Here is a 19,386-nt window from a genome sequence, read left to right as displayed (position 1 = left end):
AGAACAGTCTCTTCAATAAATGGTGCTGGGAACACTGGATATCCAGATGCAGAAAAATAAAACTAAACCCCTCTCTCTCAATATACACAAAAATCAACTCAAAATGGATTTAAGACTTAAACTAAATCCTGAAACTATGAAGCTATTAGCAGAAAACATAGGGAAAATGCTTCAGGACATATATTTGTACAAAGATTTGATGGCTAAGACCTCAAAAGCACAGACAGCAAAAGCAAAAGTAGACAAATAGGATTATATCAAACTAACAAGCTTCTGCATAGCAAAAAAAAAAAAAAAAAGAAAGAAATCAACTGAGTGAATGGGGGGAAACATTTGCAAACTATTCATCTGACAAGGGATTAATACCCAGAATATACAAGGAGCTCAACAGCAAAAAACAATCCAATTTTTTTTTTTTTTTTTTTTTTTTTTTTTTTGAGATGGAGTCTCTCTCTGTCACCCAGGCTGGAGTGCAGTGGTGCAATCTTGGCTCACTGCAAGCTCCGCCTCCCGGGTTCATGCCATTCTCCTGCCTCAGCTTCCCGAGTAGCTGGGACTACAGGCACCTGCCGCCACGCCCGGCTAATTTTTTGGTTATTTTTAGTAGAGACGGGGTTTCACCGTGTTAGCCAGGATGGTCTCGATCTCCTGACCTGGTGATCCACCGGCCTCGGCCTCCCAAAGTGCTGGGATTACAGACATAAGCCACCGCGCCAGGCCCAAACAATCCAATTTTTTTAATGGGCAAATAAGTGAGCTGAAAAGACTTTTCTAAACAGAAGGCATACTACTGGCTAATACAGGAAAAAATGCTCAGTATCACCAATTGTCACGGAAATGCAAATCCAAACCATATTGAGATATTATCTCACATGTGCCAGAATAGCTATTATCAAAAGACAAATAAAGGCTGGGTGCAGTGATTCACACATGTAATCCCAGCACTTTGGGAGGCTGAGGCAGGAGGACCGCTTGAGCCCAGGACTTCAAGGTTTCAGTGAACTATGATAGTGCCACTGCACTCCAGCCTGGGTGACAGAGCAAAACCCTATCTCTAAAATAAATAAGTAAAAATAAAAGACAAAATATGACAAATGCTGGCAAAAATGCAAAGAAAGGGGAACTCTTGTATACTGTTGGTAGGAATGTCAATTAGTATAGCGTTTATGGAAAACAGTATGGAGGATCCTCAAAAAAACTAAAAACAGAACTACCATATGGCCTAGCCATCCTACTACTGGGTATATTTCCAAAGGAAAGAAAAACAATATGCTGAAGAGATAGCTCCACTCTCACGTTTACTGCAGCATTATTCACCATAGCCAAGATATGGAATCAACCTAGGTGTACATTAAGAGATGAATGGATAGGCCAGGCGCGGTGGCTCATGCCTGTAATCCCAGCACTTTGGGAGGCTGAGGCGGGCGGATCATGAGGTCAGGGGATTGAGACCACAGTGAAACCCCGTCTCTACTAAAAATACAAAAAATTAGCCAGGCATGGTGGCGGACGCCTGTAGTCCTAGCTATTTGGGAGGCTGAGGCAGGAGAATGGTGTGAACCTGGAAGGCAGAGCTTGCAGTGAGCTGAGATCGCGCCACTGCACTCCAGCCTAGGCAACAGAGCAAGACTCTGTCTCGAAAAAAAAAAAGAAAAAAAAGAGATGAATGGATAAAGAAAATATAGTATATACACACAATTAAATACTACTCAGCCATGAAAAAAGAATAAAATCCTATCATTCTGGGCAACATGGCTGAGTGAAGTTAGTGAAATAAGTCAGGCACAGAAAGATAAATACCACACATTCTCATTCAAATTTGGACGCTAAGAAGGCTGATCTCACGGAAGGAGAAAGTAGAAAAGAAGTTACTAGAGGCTGGGAAGGGGGGGAAATAGGAAGAGGTTGGTTAATGGACAGAAAATTATAGCTAGATAAGAAATAACTTCTAGTGTCCTTTTTAAAGAGAGATGAGGGTCCCACTATGGCTGGAACTACAGACCCCCACCACTACGCCCAGTTTTCGTGTTCTAGAGCACCGTGGGGTGACTACAGTTGACAAAAACTTATCGTTTATTTTCAAATAGCTAGAAGAGAGGATTTTAAATGTTCCCACCACAAAGATAAATGTTAAAGATAATTAACAATGATAAATGTTGGAGATGATGGATTTGCTAATTACCTTGACTTGATCATGACACATTATACCTATGTATCAAAATACCACACTATACTCCATAAATATGTACACTTAGTATGCATCAATTTTAAAATAATAATTTTCTCGCAGGGCCTTACAATCATAGGTGATGAATGCAGGTTTGATCCAATACAAGAGTACGCTCACTATAAAAGAAACAGCACATTCTAACATACCTTGCTATGATGAATGTGCTCCAAATCATTAAGATAATACTCTTCAACTGAATGGGGCTTGCCTTCCACTTCAAAAATATATGCAGGATTCATCTTGTTTTGAACAGGAACAGCAAAGTAGTCTGCAAACTCTTTACAGCTGATGGTAGCCGACATCAGGACCACCTACAGAGTAAGAGAAAACATTCAAATAAAACAATGAGAATCATCACAAATTAAATACTTCTAAAACTGCAGGCTTTTCTTCTGCTTCACTCCTTATCTAACAACTTTTGAGACTTTAAACAGACCACCCTGATTTAATCTCTAGTGTAATTATTGTAGTTTAAACAATGTTCAGAGATACCAACTTTTACTATTTCTCTTCGAGTACCTTTTCAAATGATAAATTTCATCTCCAATAAGGGTAAATTAAAACCATTTTTCTGAAAGAAAACTTTGCATCAGGAGACTAATTTTAAAAAAGAATAAGGCCCAGGTAAACAAAGATACTGTGGCTCACACCTATAATCCCAGCACTTTGGGAGGCTGAGGCAGGAGGACCACTTGAGCCCAGGAGTACAAGACCAGCCTGAGCAACAACATGAGACCACTGTCTCTACAAAAAAATAAATTAATTAATTAAAAATAAATTTTAAAAAAAGAGTAAGGCCAGGTGCCGTGGCTCATGCCTGTAATCTTGGGCCAAGAGTTTAAAACCAGCCTGGGCAACATAGCAAGACCCCATCATTACAAAAAATTTAAAAATAGCTGGGCATGATGGTGCCCTCTTGTAGTCCCAGCTACTCAAGAGGCTGAGGTGGGAGGATCACTGGAGCCAAGGAGGTCGAGGCTGCAGTGATCTATGATCACACCACTGCACTCTAGCCTGGGCAACAGAGCAAGATCCTGTTTCTAAAAACAAAAATAAAAAATAAATTAAAAAGAATAAGTTACTCTATGATGTGTTCCAGAGAAATGACAGAGTAAGCCAGCAAAGAAAACGGGATCTAGAAAACTCTAGCTCCAACTCAAGAAACTGGAGAAGTCCCAGGACGACAGTGGTGCAGGAGCAGAGGAACAACCCCAGACTGGGGCAAGATGACTGACTGCAGCTTCCAGTTTTGTCAAAAAGCAAATATGAAATGATATCCTTAAGAAACTCAGCCATGAATGACAGGAGCAGTGCATACAGCCCGAGACGTGCCAGGAGAAAGTGGCTGATTATGGAGGGTCTCCCAGCTCAGCAGTCTCCATAATGCTACGTGGGGAGTGGGCACAGCAGTCCGGCTGGCTGCTCACCACCTACTGTACATCGCAAGTAGAGGTATCTAAGAGGAAATCCTAGCCAAAAAGTAAACTTTTTTATTTTTGAGACAAGTTCTGGCTCTACCACCCAGGCTGGAGTGCAGTGGTGTGATGTCAGCTCACTGCAACCTCAGCCTCCTGGGCTTCAGTGATCCTCTCACCTCAGCCTCTGAGGTAGGTAGGACTACATGTGTGCACCACCACACCTGGCTAATTTTTGTGACTGTTTTTTGTAGAGGCAGGGTTTCGCCATGTTGCCCAGGCCAGTCTCACACTTGTGAGCTCAGGCGATCTGCCCACCTCGGCCTCCCAAAGTGCTGGGATTACAGGCATGAGCCACCACACCCAGCCAAAAAGTAAACATTTCATATAAGCATTGTTGTTGCAGTTATTGAGTAAAGAAAACATCTGTATTTTCCCCTTTGGAATGAGATACAAATGGTAAAAACTGTACAGACTAAAACTCATTTTGAGATGTCTGAAGTTAAAAAGAATGCTCTCAGAAGCCACTTGGAGTGGAAGAGAGGCTCCTAAGGGACACACCCCAGTCACCATAAATGATCTCTAAACTGGGTTTTAAGGAACGACGAGGCCAGTGAACTGCAGGACACAGAGTGCAGCCTGCAAACAAGAGGCCAAGCCTGGAATGCAGGGAGCAAGCAGGACTCAGCCTGGCCACCAGCCTCCCTCATCCACCCTCCCCGGCAGCCCTCTGCCTCTTCTCCAAACAGGCAAGTCAGCAGACACCCAAGACAACTGCCTGTCTGGAGTGGGCCTGAGCTGAGTCCAGTCAGCAAGAGGTGACAACAAGGTCAGTGGCTGGAGGATGGTATAGAGGAGGCAGTGAGAGGAAGCCAGGTCGGGGGAACCACAGGGACCTAAAGGTTGGGGGGAGAGGAAAGGGGAGGCCTTAAAGCCCATGTGCCCGTGCCCCACACCCAGGTCCTCTTGACAGCGGCACTCTCTTTAAAAGCTGATACAGATTTTTTGAGAGTTTTTTAAAAACCTCTTACAAAACCACCTAGAATATGGTGTCTAATTTCTTGGCCCAACTACATGTACCATATAAGTTTCTATATCGAGAAAATATGCTGCTTCACGTATTTGTTAATAAATCATGAACACAGTGAAACTGACCAACCATATCTTACAACTTATAAGTACCAAATTCCTTACCAACATGTCCATCAGTGTAGGGTTTTGTTAATCCACTAACACTTGTCTAACTCTTTTTACCATTGAAAACTAAAAAATGTGTAACCAACTCATTATTCTGACTTGAGTAAAAAAGAAGAGTCTTAAATGACATTCAAGAAAGGTCTCAATGTGAATAATCTTCAATGGCAGCTTGGTTAAGATTCCAAAAAGGACTGAAATAGCCAAATTCTCTCATTCATTTCATAGTCACCTCAAGCAATAAGACAACTGATTGCAAGTGTCGAGTTCCATTCATTCAGCACCCACCCAGTGAAAATATGAACATCCTAAGGCAGAAGCTTCCCCACCTGGGGACATGGGAAAGAGAAAGAGAAATGTTTTCCTCAACAAATAAACACTTGAAGACAAAATGCTTTATGGTTTAGAAAGCAACTGCTTTCCAAAGCAGCCCCATCATAGAATAACTGAATAACCCAACCATGCGGCCTTTTATCAAGCTGTTTCCCACAGACCTCTGCTTAGCACAGCTGGGTTAAGGTCGACCTATGAGTAGACTTATTTAGACTGCACAATTATTCTAAACCCTTCGCCATTTTGGCCTAGTTCACACCTTCTTCCTTTTTGTTCAAATAAGAAGTAAATGATATTTATCATTCCCATCAACTTTCAGTTAACTCTACTTACGTCTCTCAAATACTAGTACATACTCTGTTCTCAAATTTCAATGCACTTTGGTGCTATTTCGAACACAGGGACTGCAGATTCATTCACTTACTTTTTGTTTTGTTTTTGTTTTTTTTTTTAAATGCAGTCTCTCTCTGTTGCCCAGGCTGGAGTGCAGTGGCACAATCTCGGCTCACTGCAACCTCCGCTTCCCGGCTTCAAGCAATTCTCCTGCCTCAGCCTCCCAAGTAGCTGGGATTACAGGCGCCCGCCACCACGCCCGGCTAATTCTTGAGACAGGGTCTCATCTGTTACCCAGGCTGGAGTGCAGTGGCGCAATCACAGTTCACTGCAGCCTGGACCTCCCAGGCTCAAGCAATCCTCCGTCAGCCTCCCAAGTAGCTGGGACCACAGACACACACCACTATGTCCAGCTAGTTTTTGTATTTTTTGTAGAGATGGGGTTTCACCATGTTGCCCAGGCTGGTCTTGATCTCCTTGGGCTCAAGCAATCTGCCCACCTTTGCCCCCCAAACTGCTGGGATTACAGGCGTGAGCCACTGTACCACCCAGCTTCATTCACATACCTTTAAACTGTGGTACTTATTCAACCAAAAGCAAAGCTCAAAACCCAGCATGTCATTATAGTCAACTAGACCATTTTCTGCAGCCTGGAGAAAATATGAGAGTTTAAGGCAACATAATAACCAAAAAGTATCCGTACTCTGTTCATAAAAGAATGCCCCTTAGTTGGCTTCCTGGCAAGATCTGGTGTACTACACATGATCATGAATTTTAAGCGTCATCAGTTTCAAATGTTTCTGTTAAAATACAGTCAGCCCGGCCAAGTGCAGTGGCTCACATCTGTAATCACAGCCCTTTGGAAGACCAAAGCAAGCAAATCAGTTGAGGTCAGGAGTTCAAGACCAGCCTGGTGCAAAACCCCATCTATACCAAAAACTACAAAAAAAAAATTAGCCTGGCATGGTGGTGGGTGCCTGTAGTCCCAGCTACTCAAGAGGCTGAGGCATGAGAATTGCTTGAACCTGGGAGGCGGAGGTGGCAGTGAGCTGAGATCGCACCACTGCACTCCACCCTGGGCAACAGAGTGAGACTCCATCTCAAAATAAATAAATAAGTAAACAAACAAACAAACAGCCCTGGGCCAGGCGCGGTGGCTCACACCTGTAATCCCAGCAATTTGGGAGGCCAAGGCGGGCGGATCACGAGGTCAGGAGATCAAGACCATCCTGGCTAACACGATGAAACCCCGCCTCTACTAAAAATACAAAAAATTAGCTGGGCTTGGTGGTGGGTGCCTGTAGTCCCAGCTACTTGGGAGGCTGAGGCAGGAGAATGGCATGAACCCAGGAGGCGGAGCTTGCAGTGAGCCGAGATCACGCCACTGCACTCCAGCCTGGGCGACAGAGCTAGACTCCGTCTCAAAAAAAAAAAATACAGTCAGCCCTCTGTATCCAGATTCTGCATTTGCAGATTCAACCAACTGAAAATCAAAAATATTCAGAAAAAATAAAAATACAAATTTAAAAAATAGAGTATAGCAACTATTTACATGGCATTTACATTATATTCAGTATTGTAGATAACCTAGAGGTGACTTAGAGCATATGGGAAGATGTGCATAGGCTACATGCAAATACTTTACTATGCCATTTCATATAAGGCACTTGAGGATCCTCAGATTTTAGTATCTGTCCGGGGTCCCAGAATGCTCTATAGACACCAACAGACTATAGAGAGAAACAAAACTAAACAATGAATCTTAATCCTAAATATGTCTGTTACTCATGAAATCAAATTTACCTTCACAAAACGTGAATTTGTTCTTAAGAGTTTGCGGACTACCAATAGCAGGAAATCCATTTCTTCTGTTCGTTCGTGTACCTACAAAATAAAAAAGGGGGCACCCCCCACATGGCATCAGGCAACACACATGACACTGCTGACAGAAAGGCACCACTGGGGGACTGGGGACTAAACCAGTTCTCTCTGCTAAATGCAGTTCCTCAGGGGGCTAGTATCACTCCTGGTTAAGAGGAAGCAAAGAGCATCGGCCAACAGACCACAGACCACCCACTCAGTCACGGCCCCCAGTGTTTCTCCTTAGGGCCCCCTGAGAGACGGCAGAGTAATGTTCTGCACCCTCGCCCCTGCTCATTTACTGCCAACTGTGCCCAAGGTCACTGTGACAACCAGAAACCTCTCCACCTACCTCAAGCACAGAGAACCACTGGGCCAGCCTCCCATGGCCCCTCCTTGCCACAACCCCTGCCAGGCCTGCAGGTACACTGTCATCTGAGCAAGCAAGCACAGGGAAGAAGATGTGCCAGTCTAACACTGACCGGGAGCCATGTGACCCCTACAGGACACATTCCATGATGTGCATAACTGCAGCTCACAAGGGTGGGCAAGGGCTGGTCCTGGAAAAGCTGGGTCAGTCACAAACAGGTAAACCAGAGCAAGGTTAGGACCCGAGGTCAGTAGCACTGACACTCGGGGACAGCAGTCAGGGAGGCAGCACCTCAGACAGACCTTGCAGCCCTCCTCAGACAGAGACCTCACAGTCAGAGCCACCCCAGGACCCACAGCCCCCCCACCCCGCCCCACCCCAGAACCAGCTAGCACCCAAGGGCTAGGCAGCCTGCTACTGTTCTAAAGAAGCCAGTTACTCTAGAACTTAGGAAACATCAATGTACAAGGGGACGGTAAGATTCTATTCTGGGACATTTCTCAGCCGAAGTGGAGAGATAATTACTAAGTTTCAAAGAGGGAGTTCTCCTTTCCTCAGTGTAAGAGGTGTAAGGATTTATTCTGTAAGTAATTCTATTCCAGGCCCTACTATCTTCTGAACTTCCCACTGAAGGAGATGTCTAGAGAAGTAGCATAGAGAAAAGAAAAACAAAAATCAGTAGCTAAAAGGTATTTAACATCATCATAAATCTCATGCTGTCACTTGACTTCAGAACATTTCCTCAGCACAAACATCCTCTCTTTTACTTGAGAAGAAAAATCAAGGCTATCATCAGCAAAAAGCCCCAAAGTGAGCTCTCCTCAGCTTGTGGCAGTCTCTTCTGAGTTCACACACCCATCATCTTCCCTCTGCCCCGCAACCCACTGGCTCCAGGATCCCTACACCAGCCTTTCTAACACATAAACATACACACATCAGCAGATGGGTCTCCCTAGTACTCATCTTTATAACCTCAGCCCCTTAGGAGGCACCTTTTCCATAGCAGTACTCAAAAAAAAAAAAAAAGTTTATTGAATGAATGATTTGCTTAAAGCTAGTTTTTTTTGGGGGGTTTTTTTTTTGCTTTTTTTTTTTTACACAGAGTCTTATTCTGTAGCCCAGGCTGGAGTGCAGTGACGCGATCTCCGCTCACTGCAAGCTCCGCCTCCCGGGTTCACGCCATTCTCCGGCCTCAGCCTCCCGAGTAGCTGGGACTACAGGTGCCCGCCACCATGCCCGGCTAATTTTTTGTATTTTTAGTAGAGACGGGGTTTCATCGTGTTAGCCAAGATGGTCTCAATCTCCTGACCTGGTGATCCGCCCACCTCGGCCTCCCAAAGTGCTGAGATTATAGGCGTGAGCCACCGCACCCGGCCAAGCTACTTTATTCTTTTTTTTTGAGACAGAGTCTCACTCTGTCGCCCAGGCTGGAGTGCAGTGGCGCAATCTCAGCTCACTGCAACCTCTGCCTCCCGGGTTCACGCCATTCTCCTGCCTCAGCCTCCTGAGTAGCTGGGACTACAGGCGCCCGCCACCACGCCCGGCTAATTTTTTGTATTTTTAGTAGAGATGGGGTTTCACCATGTTAGCCAGGATGGTCTCGATCTCCTGATCTCACAAATCCTCGTGATCCGCCCACCTCGGCCTCCCAAAGTGCTGGGATTACAGGTGTGAGCCACCGTGCCCGGCCCAAGCTACTTTATCCTTAAGAGCTGGAAAGTTTAAAACATTATTCCATTTTAAACTGGCTGGCTATCTTCAACTTTTGTTCTTGTATTTGTTTTGAAATTCAAATAATCCCAGATAATGCAAACGATACTATATGTAAACCTAAAACTTCAGGTAGTTGAATCCAGTCCATTCATTTATGAAGCAAATAATCCCTGGGGCATCTACAAGGTGCTGACACCGCACCAGACAGAGGCAGAGCAGGAAGCTGCCGTGATGGCGCGATGGTCTTCTGTTGGTTACCGCTCCCCAGTAGGGCAAGCTCTCGAAGAGAGGAGCTAACTTTTGCTCAGCTATTAAGGCAGAGCTTGAGAAAAGGATATAGTCAGTAACACAGCATTGATGGATTTATCTGTGTCACTCAAGTATGGGTGTGCAAAGGCCACGTAGGCAGAGAAATATGTCAGACACACAGAAAATAAATGTAGGCACCAGCACCACAGCCTCTAGAGTAAACTACCCAGGGATGAACCCAGCAACATCACTAATTACTTGTGGCCTGAGCACTGAACTTCCTTAAACTTTAGTTTCCTTTTATGTAAAGTGGGCTCAATTATACTAAAAAGCCCAATGAATAACTATTACAACCTTCATAATGCCATCTTTTGGCATATTATCTATTAAATCTGAATTTGTCTCTACCTACTATAAAGATATTCAAAACTACCATAAGTCATAAAGAAAAATTCTGAACCGTATTATATATCACCCTATTTTGTAAGAAACAGTAGATCATTTTCACCCTCTCCTACTCTCCCACCAAATGCCCTACAATAATTTAAAACCAAGTGCCTGTACATAAGATCACAAACGCACTGACTCAGCTTTGCCTGGAGTATATGTTGTATTATTCGTTATCCCATGCATCAAAATAGAGTGCAGAGACACTACCCTAAACAGTTGCCCAAATGGGTTTATCCTTTTGGTTGTTATTGTTGTTTTCCAACGCAGTCTCACTCTGTTGCCCAGGCTGAAGGGCAGTGGCACAAACTCAGCTCACTGCAACCTCCATCTCCCAGGTTCAAGTTATTCTCCCACCTCAGCCTCTCAAGTAGCTGGGACTATAGGTGTGTGCCACCGCACCCAGCTAATCTTTTTTTTTTTTTTTTTTTTTTTTTTGTATTTTTAGTAGAGATGGGTTTCACCATGTTGGCCAGGTTGGTCTCGAACTCCTGACCTCAAGTGATCCACCCACCTTGGCCTCCCAGAGTATCGGGATTACAGGCATGAGCCCGTTGCCCAAATGGTTTGATTTCAGACTCTATTAAACACCCTACCCTTGTCTCACAACCTCTCACAAATCCTATTTATTTGCTGATGTGTCTAATTCCTCTAGAAATAAGTCAAGCTTCCCAAACAGAATTACTGATAAGGTTTAAAACACAAGAGTTTAAGAACCAGTACCAAAGTTCTTGGGAAAGTTATTCAAACACAACATTCCCCACCAAAAAACTCATGTTTAAAATATAAACAAAATCAAAAAACATTCCATCCTTACTGAGAAAAGTCCAGAAAGTAAAGGGGAAGGAAAAAATAAAGAAAGCTGAGACAGGCACAAAGACAGGGTTCACAATACTCTGAGAGTTTTTTTAAGAGAGATAAATATGACCTTTACAAGTAGATGACATCACTTACTTCATCAATGATGATATGTGTGAATTCCATCAAACTCTTGGCACTAACTATTTTCTGAAGCAGGACTCCAGTTGTCATATAAATTAGCCTGGTGTCCTCTGTTGCTATTTTCTCTAGCCCTACCTAAAATTGGAGAAGGAAAAAGGAAAGGAAAAAAGAGAAAAAAAAAGTTATGTCCATTTTATTAATATAATGGGGGTAAGAAAGGGAATGAAAAATTAAGGTATTTCGAAAGATACACAGGCTCCAAATTAAAAGTGACATTCTCAAGTCAATTATTTTCTTCTTTTTTGGGGGGAGGGCGGCAGGGGTTGGCTCATCTAATCACACTGCTATAACATTTTTATGTTAAAACAATTGTGTATCAAGACATCTTCTAGATTACAGATATAATTAAAAAGATAAAATTATAAAAGCCATAAGCATGAGAATTCTTACTGCTTTCCTATTCAACTGGAAAGAAATTACAATTTATTTTCAAGAAATTCTTTTTTTCTTTTCGAAACAGAGTCTCACTTTGTCACCCAAGTTGGAGTGCAGTGGCATGATCTCAGCTCACTGCAACCTCTGCCTCCCGGGTTCAAGCAATTCTCATACCCCAGCCTCCTGAGTAGCTGGAATCACAGGCATGTGCCATCATGCCTGGCTAATTTTTGTATTTTTAGTAGAGAGGGGGTTTCACCATGTTGGCCAGGCTGGTCTCAAACTTCTGACCTCAAGTGATCTGCCCGCCTCAGCCTCCCAAAGTGCTGGGATTACAGGCGTGAGCCGCCATGCCCAGCCTTATTTTCAAGAAATTCTGTTTCACTGCTTTTTAAAATTATGCCACAGTTCTCTTCTATAAGCAGCTGGTTTCTTTTTTTGTTTGTTTGTTTGTTTTTTGTTTTGAGACAGAGTCTCACTCTGTTGCCCATGCTGGAGTGCAGTGGCGCAAGCTTGGCTCACTGCAACCTCTGCCTCCCGGGTTCAAGCAATTCTCCTGCCACAGCCTCCCGAGTAGCTGGGACTACAGGCATGCACCACCACATCCGGCTAATTTTTGTATTTTTAGTAGAGACGGAGTTTCACCATGTTGGCCAGGCTGCTCTCAAACTCCCGACCTAATGTGATCCGCCTGCCTCGGTCTCCCAAAGTGCTGGGATTACAGGCATGAGACACAACTAATTTTCAGCAGAAAATGGTCACATACTATCAACTTACACAGAAAAAAACTTAATAAAATTAAGGAATAGAGAGACAGCTGGCTCTCTTAGTCCCTCCCTCCCTCCCAGTCTCACCTGGTAGCCCACCACACCTCCCAGGGTCCAGGCACGCTCTTTACTGATCCACCTGGCGATGCTGCTTGCCCCTATCTTCCGGGGCTGGGTGACCACAATGCTGCAGTAGGCGGAGCGCTGAACGTAGTGGTCCAAGATATACTGCGGGAGCTGAGTGCTTTTACCGCTTCCCGTGGCCCCATGGATAATCACCACGGAATTACTTTCTATCAAAGACACAACCTAGAAATTTAAAAAATTCTTTCAAAATCAGCACAAAATGGCAATGTAAAGTATCACCTATATTAAGAAGTCTTTCAGGATTTATTTTTCTTTCATCTTAAAGTTTTGTTTTGTTTTGTTTGAGATGGAGTCTCGCTCTGTTGCCCAGCCTGGAGTGCAGGGGCGCAATCTCGGCTCACTGCAACCTCTGTCTCCTGAGTTCAAACGATTCTCATGCCTCAGCCTCTCAAGTAGCTGGGACTACAGGCGTGTACCACCACACCCAGCTAATTTTTGTATTTCTGGTAGAGACAGGGTTTCTTTCACCGTGTTGGCCAGGCTGGTCTTGAACTCCTGACATCAAGTGATCCGCCTGCCTCAGCCTCCCAAATTGCTGGGATTACCAGCAATTTCCCAAATTGCTTAAAGTTATTAATTAACCATTCTAAACACAACACAAGAGAGCAAGGAGGCGACAAACGGTTGCCACACTTAAATGCAACTCTACTACCTATTTAACAGTAATTAGTGGCTGGGCACAGGTGGCTCACATCTGCAATCCCAGCACTCTGGGAGGCCAAGGCGGGCGGATCACGAGGTCAAGAGATCGAGACCATTCTGGCCAATATGGTGAAACCCTGCTTCTACTAAAAATACAAAAATTAGCTGGGCATGGTAGCGCGCCTGTAGTCCCAGCTACTTGGGAGGTTGAAGCAGGAGAATTGCTTGAACCCTGGAGACAGAGGTTGCAGTGAGCCAAGATCGTGCCACTGCACTCCAGCCTGGCGACAGAGCAAGCCTCCATCTCAAAACAAACAAACAAAAAAACAAAAACAACAACAAAAAAAATAGTAACTAGTGATAGCTGTGGAAAAACCAGGCCAGGTTAACTCCAGCTTCCTGGGTCTCAACTGCTTCTGTAAAAATGAAAATGTAAAATTAGATTTCTATGACTCTTCCCAAGTTTCTATTAACATTTTGTAATGAATCTGCAAATAATTCTACTGAACATGAGAAAAAGAGCTGTTACTACATTCAAGTGGTTTTAAAATGTCATCTTAAATTCTTCAGACATATTTTTATCTATTAAATATCTGTTTATTTATTTTTAGACACAGGCTCTAGCTCTGTCACCCAGGCTGGAGTGCAGTGGCACAATCATGGCTCACTGCAGCTTTGACCTCCTAAGCTCAAGCCATCCTGCCACCTCAGCATCCCAAGCCAGGACCACAGGCACGTGCCACCATATTCCACTAATTTTGGGGGGTGTGTTTTGTAGAGATGAGGTCTTGCTATGTTGCCCAGGCTGGTCTGGAACTCCTGGCCTCAAGTGATCCTCCCACCTCCAGACATATTTGGAAACAAGTAACTTCCACTTTTCCACTTACAGATTATATGCAGCATTTTTAAAACTCCACTCAAATTCCTCCTCCAGAACTCCCCGACCTCCACTCTAAACTTATTTAAGCTCTTATCCTTCTAACAATTGATATGGTCAGGAAATACAAATTAATTTGAATACTGGCCTCTAATTTTTAGTTGCATGATTTACTCTAAAGCAAAGTAAAAATTAAATTTGAAACATTTCTAGTTTTATCTGTAACTCCTTCTTCCAGTTAATAAAGGTTCCGATACGCTTACTCTTAACGATGCTTAATAACACGCAAGTAATTAGGAACTTAATCGTCCTACTGTTACATCTGCCTGGCATTGTTAATACAATGGTATGTCAATGATTGATTACATTAATCAACAGGCAGAGAAAGGGCCAACGCTGTAAAGAAAACCCAGTGGAAATGCTAGGGTATGTCATTTGCTTCATAAAAACATTTAGCAGTGAGTTTATTTAAACAAGAAGCTCTCCTGGGGAAGACTAAGTGTTTACTTGCAGATATTTTGAGGAAGGAAAGACTAGATAAACTAAATGTTAGAAGATGTACTCAGGCGAAGACTAAAGAAATTAAAGCACAGATCAAAAGAAAAGCCATCGATATGGTTACTACACAAAATCATCTGCAGGTTGGCCTGAGCACACCCTCCTCTTATCCACCACAGAACCTTGTACACCACAGAAGTGTTCACCTGGCAACTGGTAACTTTCAAATTAGAAACCAAAAGTATTGGGCCTCAGACATGTATTCAAACAGCAAAATTACAGTATAACAAAACAATTTTACCTCTTCCTTGTATCGACTTATAGGCAAATCAGGATATTTATAAGTTGTCCCTGGGATGCATGTCACACTGCTTAATTTAGCCAAAGATGGCCTTGGACCTGGATTAAGGCAAAACAAACAAATACAATGCCATTTCTTATCTGGAAAAAGATAACTCAATGTTCTAATCTATAGATACAGCATACACACACACACACACACACACACACACTCAAATACAAAAATACATTTTCTACAGGCTAAAACTGCCATCAGGGCAATACCAAAGACATGGAACGAACATAGGTATCCATCAATGGTGGATTGGATAAAGAAAACATGGTACATATACACCATGGAATAATATGCAGCCATAAAAAAGAATGAAATCATGTCCTTTGCAGCAAGCAACATGGATGTAGCTGGAGGCCATCTAAGCAAATTAACACAGAAACAGAAAACCAAATATTAAATGTTCTCACAACTGGGAGCTAAACCTTGGGTACACACGAACATAAAGATGGGAATAACAGACACTAGGGACTCCAAGAAGAAGAGGGAGGGAGGGGCAAGGGCTGAAAAACTTCCTACTGGGTACTGTGTTCACTATACAGGTGATGGGATCAGTGGAAGCCCAAACCTCAGCATCACCCAATATACTCTTGTAACAAACCTGAACATGCACCCCCGAATCTAAAATAAAAAGTTTAATTTCTTAAGAAACTTCCCTTAGCAGCCCACTATTAATCTTGTATAAAAGCAAACTGAGAACATTCTATCCCTCCATCACAGCCACCAATATTGCAAGCTCAGCACTGCCTTCTAAAACAGGCCTGTAAAACACGCACTCATTGCTGATTCAGTGGTACCAAAACAGTTAAAGAGAAAACTTTTCCTTGAAATTTCAACAGAATGCATCAATTTAAGTGTGCATTCCCTGCTACTAAAATACATCAGTGATAGCAATAAATAAATCAAACAATTTATGAAATACAGGTATCAGGAAAGCAGGCAGCTTGCCTCTGCTCAGGATACATGACACAGAGCTCTGACCAGGCACACTTCTCTGCCCTCTTGTAAAAACATGCCCTGCTCTCTGGCTGCACTACAAATTCTAAACCTCTGGTCATCACTTGACAAACTGGCAAATCATCAAAACTCACGGAAGACAAACTTTTGCTGGGAAATAAGTTTTACTTCCAAAATAAACTCTTAGCCAAATTTAGCACCGCACTCATTCCCTTACCCCACGACTCACCTTCCCTTCCTATCAGCCCCTTGTTTCTGACCAGCATCTCCTGCTGTGTCACCCTCGGCCTTTCCTAATAAAACACACAACCAGGCTTCTCTCTTGTTTTCCTACATCTTTTCCCTACATATATTCCCATTTTCCTAACTGGTCTAATAACATGTAATTAAAATGTGGCTATTTTCCCACATTTGAATCAAAGTTACGTGGTCCCTGTTCTCAATTATATAAACAGAGGAACCAGATCTGTCATACTTTCTCAAAGCAAAAATAGCTTCTTTGTGAGTATGTTCTTCCTAAAATATTAGTGACCCCTAACTCAGGAAAGCTGTCCTGCCGATATGGCTTTTTTTTTTTTCCTTTTTTCTTTTTCTTTTTTCTTTTTCTGGACAGAGTCTTGCTCTGTCCCCCAGGCTGGAGTGCAGTGGCGCGATCTCGGCTCACTGCAACCTCTGCCTCCTGGGTTCAAGCGATTCTCCTCCCTCAGCCTCCTGAGTAGCTGGGATTACAGGTGCCCACCACCACACCCGGCTAATTTTTGTATTTTTAGTAGAGATGGGGTTTCACCATGTTGGTCAGGCTGGTCTTGAACTCCTGATCTCGGCCTCTCAAATTGCTGAGATTACAGGCATGAGCCACCACGCCTGACCTATGGCTTTTTAATCTTCTAATCAGCCTAACTAGTGATTGCCAAGTTTACTAAAACAGGGATTTTCTTTCCATTATCACGTCTCACTTTCCTTCCATTCCTCTTCTCAGTGCTATGGTAATTACTGATGCCTTCTTGTTTTCCCAGTTAATATACCTAGGCCTTCTTGAACATAATGAAAGAAGGGGAAGAGAATCCCCATGGCCCTTGTGAACTGGACTGAGAGAAAGAAGGCCCTGAGCCCAGACACAGCATGCAGACAAAGGGAGAGGCAAGTATTCTAGTGAGGAACAGGGTGGGAGTAAGAAGCTGAGGAAGAGCTACTCAAAGGGGAAAGAAGGTGACAAAGATTCTTTTAGAAAGACGAAAAAGGCTGCAGCCACGTTCGTTTTGCTAAAAGACTTCAAGCCCTGGCTCACATGCCGCTAAACAAGCCCTGTTACTTAGACAATATTGGCTTACATTACTTGATTACATGCATTTTGAAGACTGCTACTTAAAGACAGAAATTTTACAAGAAAAAATGCCAGAAGTCCTAACGGTACTGTCTATACCATAGCCCCTTCTCCATGTAACGCAAAACACAAGCTGACATTTTTAGGTCACTGGCTGAAGCAGACCCAGCACAAATCAAGTCCTGCCTCCGCGTACACTGCCAAAGGGCAGACAGGAAACCAAACAGCAGAAATGTTCCCAGCTGTGTGGCTCTCGCACCTTTGCATCAGCAACAGAATAAGAAGGAAATCCATCACGGATAATTTAAGGCAAATCAACAAACTACATACAACAAAGCAAAAATCCAAAAACGGCATGAGGACCAGCTCAACCTTAAAATTGACTATTCTTATTTTCTTGCTGTCTCTTTATCCTACATGATTAACAACACAATGTTTTACATGAACTGGGGAAAACTGGAAGCCATAAAAATTGCTAGTTCTCTTCACTAAGACATATCACTATATCACCATCAACCAAATATGAAATCTAACCAAAAAGTTCAGCACCTAGAGGTTCTAAACAGCATGTAAGGAATTTTAACTGGTAAGTATGTCAGTTCACATGGTGAACTTAAGACTTATCTTCAAATCTACACACTATATATTACAGAAAATAATTTTAATTACTGGATTACTGATGTAACCATAAAATTAAATCTTCCAAATAGATAATTATATATGACTTTCTCCAAATATGGACTAGTATTCTGAATACAAAATTAACTTGAAGGAAGAATAATGTTTCTCTTTCGGTTATTAGACATTCCACATAGGCCATTCTCTTAAAACCAGAAGAAAAGCTAAAAGGAGGATGAAAACAGCCACTAAATATATCACCACATTTAAAAGGAGGCAGCACTGTGGAATTTAACTACAATCTAAAGACTGTATCCCAGGACAAATTCAAATTGTTGTGTGAAAGCAACAGAACCCTTCAGGAGTCGACAACCTAGAACTAGGCTCACACTGTAAGGAAAGATTTCATTTATCAATGCAAATAAATCTCAGTTTTTAAAAAATGATTAATCTTTAACCATGTAAAATGATTCTACTGTAATCGATAGAAATTCACTGAATGGGTGTCCTTGGATTTCTATTTAGAAATAATTTTTAATACTTATAAGTGAAATAACACCTGTATCAGGCCAAAATCAAAAGTGTTTTGAATCAAATTATTTTATAACTGGATATAACAAAATGTTCATGCTGAAACCTGTGGCACTGGACTGGAATTAGAGGCATCAGTGTAATCTCATGGTTTTAATAGAAATAGACATAGAAATAGCTTTGTGTCTGTGTGTGTGTGTGTGTATGTATACATACACACACACACACACACACACACACGATAACCTGACCTTACTTCTTCAGTGCTCCAGAGGCACTTCAACACTTCAAAACATTTAGCAGACATGACGGTGACATGTTTACAGTCCCAGCTATTCAGGAAGCTGAGGCTGGAGGATCACTTGAGTCTAGGAGTTCAAGGCCTACCTGGGCAACATAGCAAGACCTCATCTCAAGGAAAAAGAAGTGGACAGCACCTCTCTGCCTCCTGTGGCCTCCTCCCTCACCCTGTGTCCAAGGCATCACCAATTCCTGTCCGGTTTGTCCTTCAACTGGCTCTCCTCCTCCACTGCCATCCTCTGTCAAAGACACCATCAAGTCTCACCTGGACTAGGACAATGCCTCCAATTCTCCTCAGGTCCACTCTGGCCCCCTCCAATCAACTCTCAAAAATATGACCAAAGCACTTTTTGTAAAACACAAATCTAAACACATGACACCCTCTTCCTCCCTTCACAGTCATCCCAAGAAAAGCATGGAAACTTTCATACCTTCCCACTGCTCTGAGTATTAAGACCAAAACTCTTCGTTACAGCCCACAGGCCCTATTACTAGTCTTGCCTATCTCATCCAACCTCATCCAATACAAGTGTGTTAGTTTTTTACTGCTGCTGTCACATTTTACCTCAAACTTAGTGGCTTAAAACATGCATTTATTCTCTTACAGTTCTGGAAGCAGAGGTTCAAAGATGAGAAGGACAAGGTGTTGGCATGGCTGCTGGATCCTTCCGGAGGCTCTGTAAAGAAGAATCTATTCCCTTGCCTTATCAGCCATGGAGAAGCTGCCTGCATTGGCTCATGGCCTCTTCCTTGTATCACTCCAACCTATGACTTCTGTTGTCACATCTACTACTGACTGATCTTCCTGCTTCCCTCTAGGAAAAACCCTGTGATGACATTAGGCCCACCTGG

General features: G+C 42.9%; 1 protein-coding gene across 12 annotated transcripts in view; it reads right to left on the bottom strand.

Moving 5' to 3' along the window:
• The window catches only part of TDRD9 (tudor domain containing 9), a 124,212-nt gene that overhangs the window by 74,738 nt on the left and 30,088 nt on the right, over window positions 1–19,386 (bottom strand). For 8 of the 12 annotated variants that reach the window (XM_006720019.4, NM_153046.3, XM_005267309.5 and 5 more), the window contains exons 3-7: window positions 14,754–14,851; window positions 12,376–12,597; window positions 11,099–11,221; window positions 7,309–7,389; window positions 2,377–2,541 (exon numbers count right to left, since the gene is read on the bottom strand). In XM_006720019.4, the coding sequence (XP_006720082.1) occupies window positions 2,377–2,541; window positions 7,309–7,389; window positions 11,099–11,221; window positions 12,376–12,597; window positions 14,754–14,851 (689 nt within the window). Of the gene's footprint in view, window positions 1–2,376; window positions 2,542–7,308; window positions 7,390–11,098; window positions 11,222–12,375; window positions 12,598–14,753; window positions 14,852–19,386 lie in introns of those variants that run through there. The other 4 variants (XM_006720020.4, XM_047430909.1, XM_047430912.1 and 1 more) reach the window with 2 other exon arrangements.

The sequence above is a fragment of the Homo sapiens genome, chromosome 14 (assembly GCF_000001405.40).
Source record: "Homo sapiens chromosome 14, GRCh38.p14 Primary Assembly".
Lineage (NCBI taxonomy): Eukaryota > Metazoa > Chordata > Mammalia > Primates > Hominidae > Homo > Homo sapiens.
The sequence above is the reverse complement of the archived record's forward strand: the minus strand, read 5'-3'. Positions and strand labels throughout refer to the sequence as shown.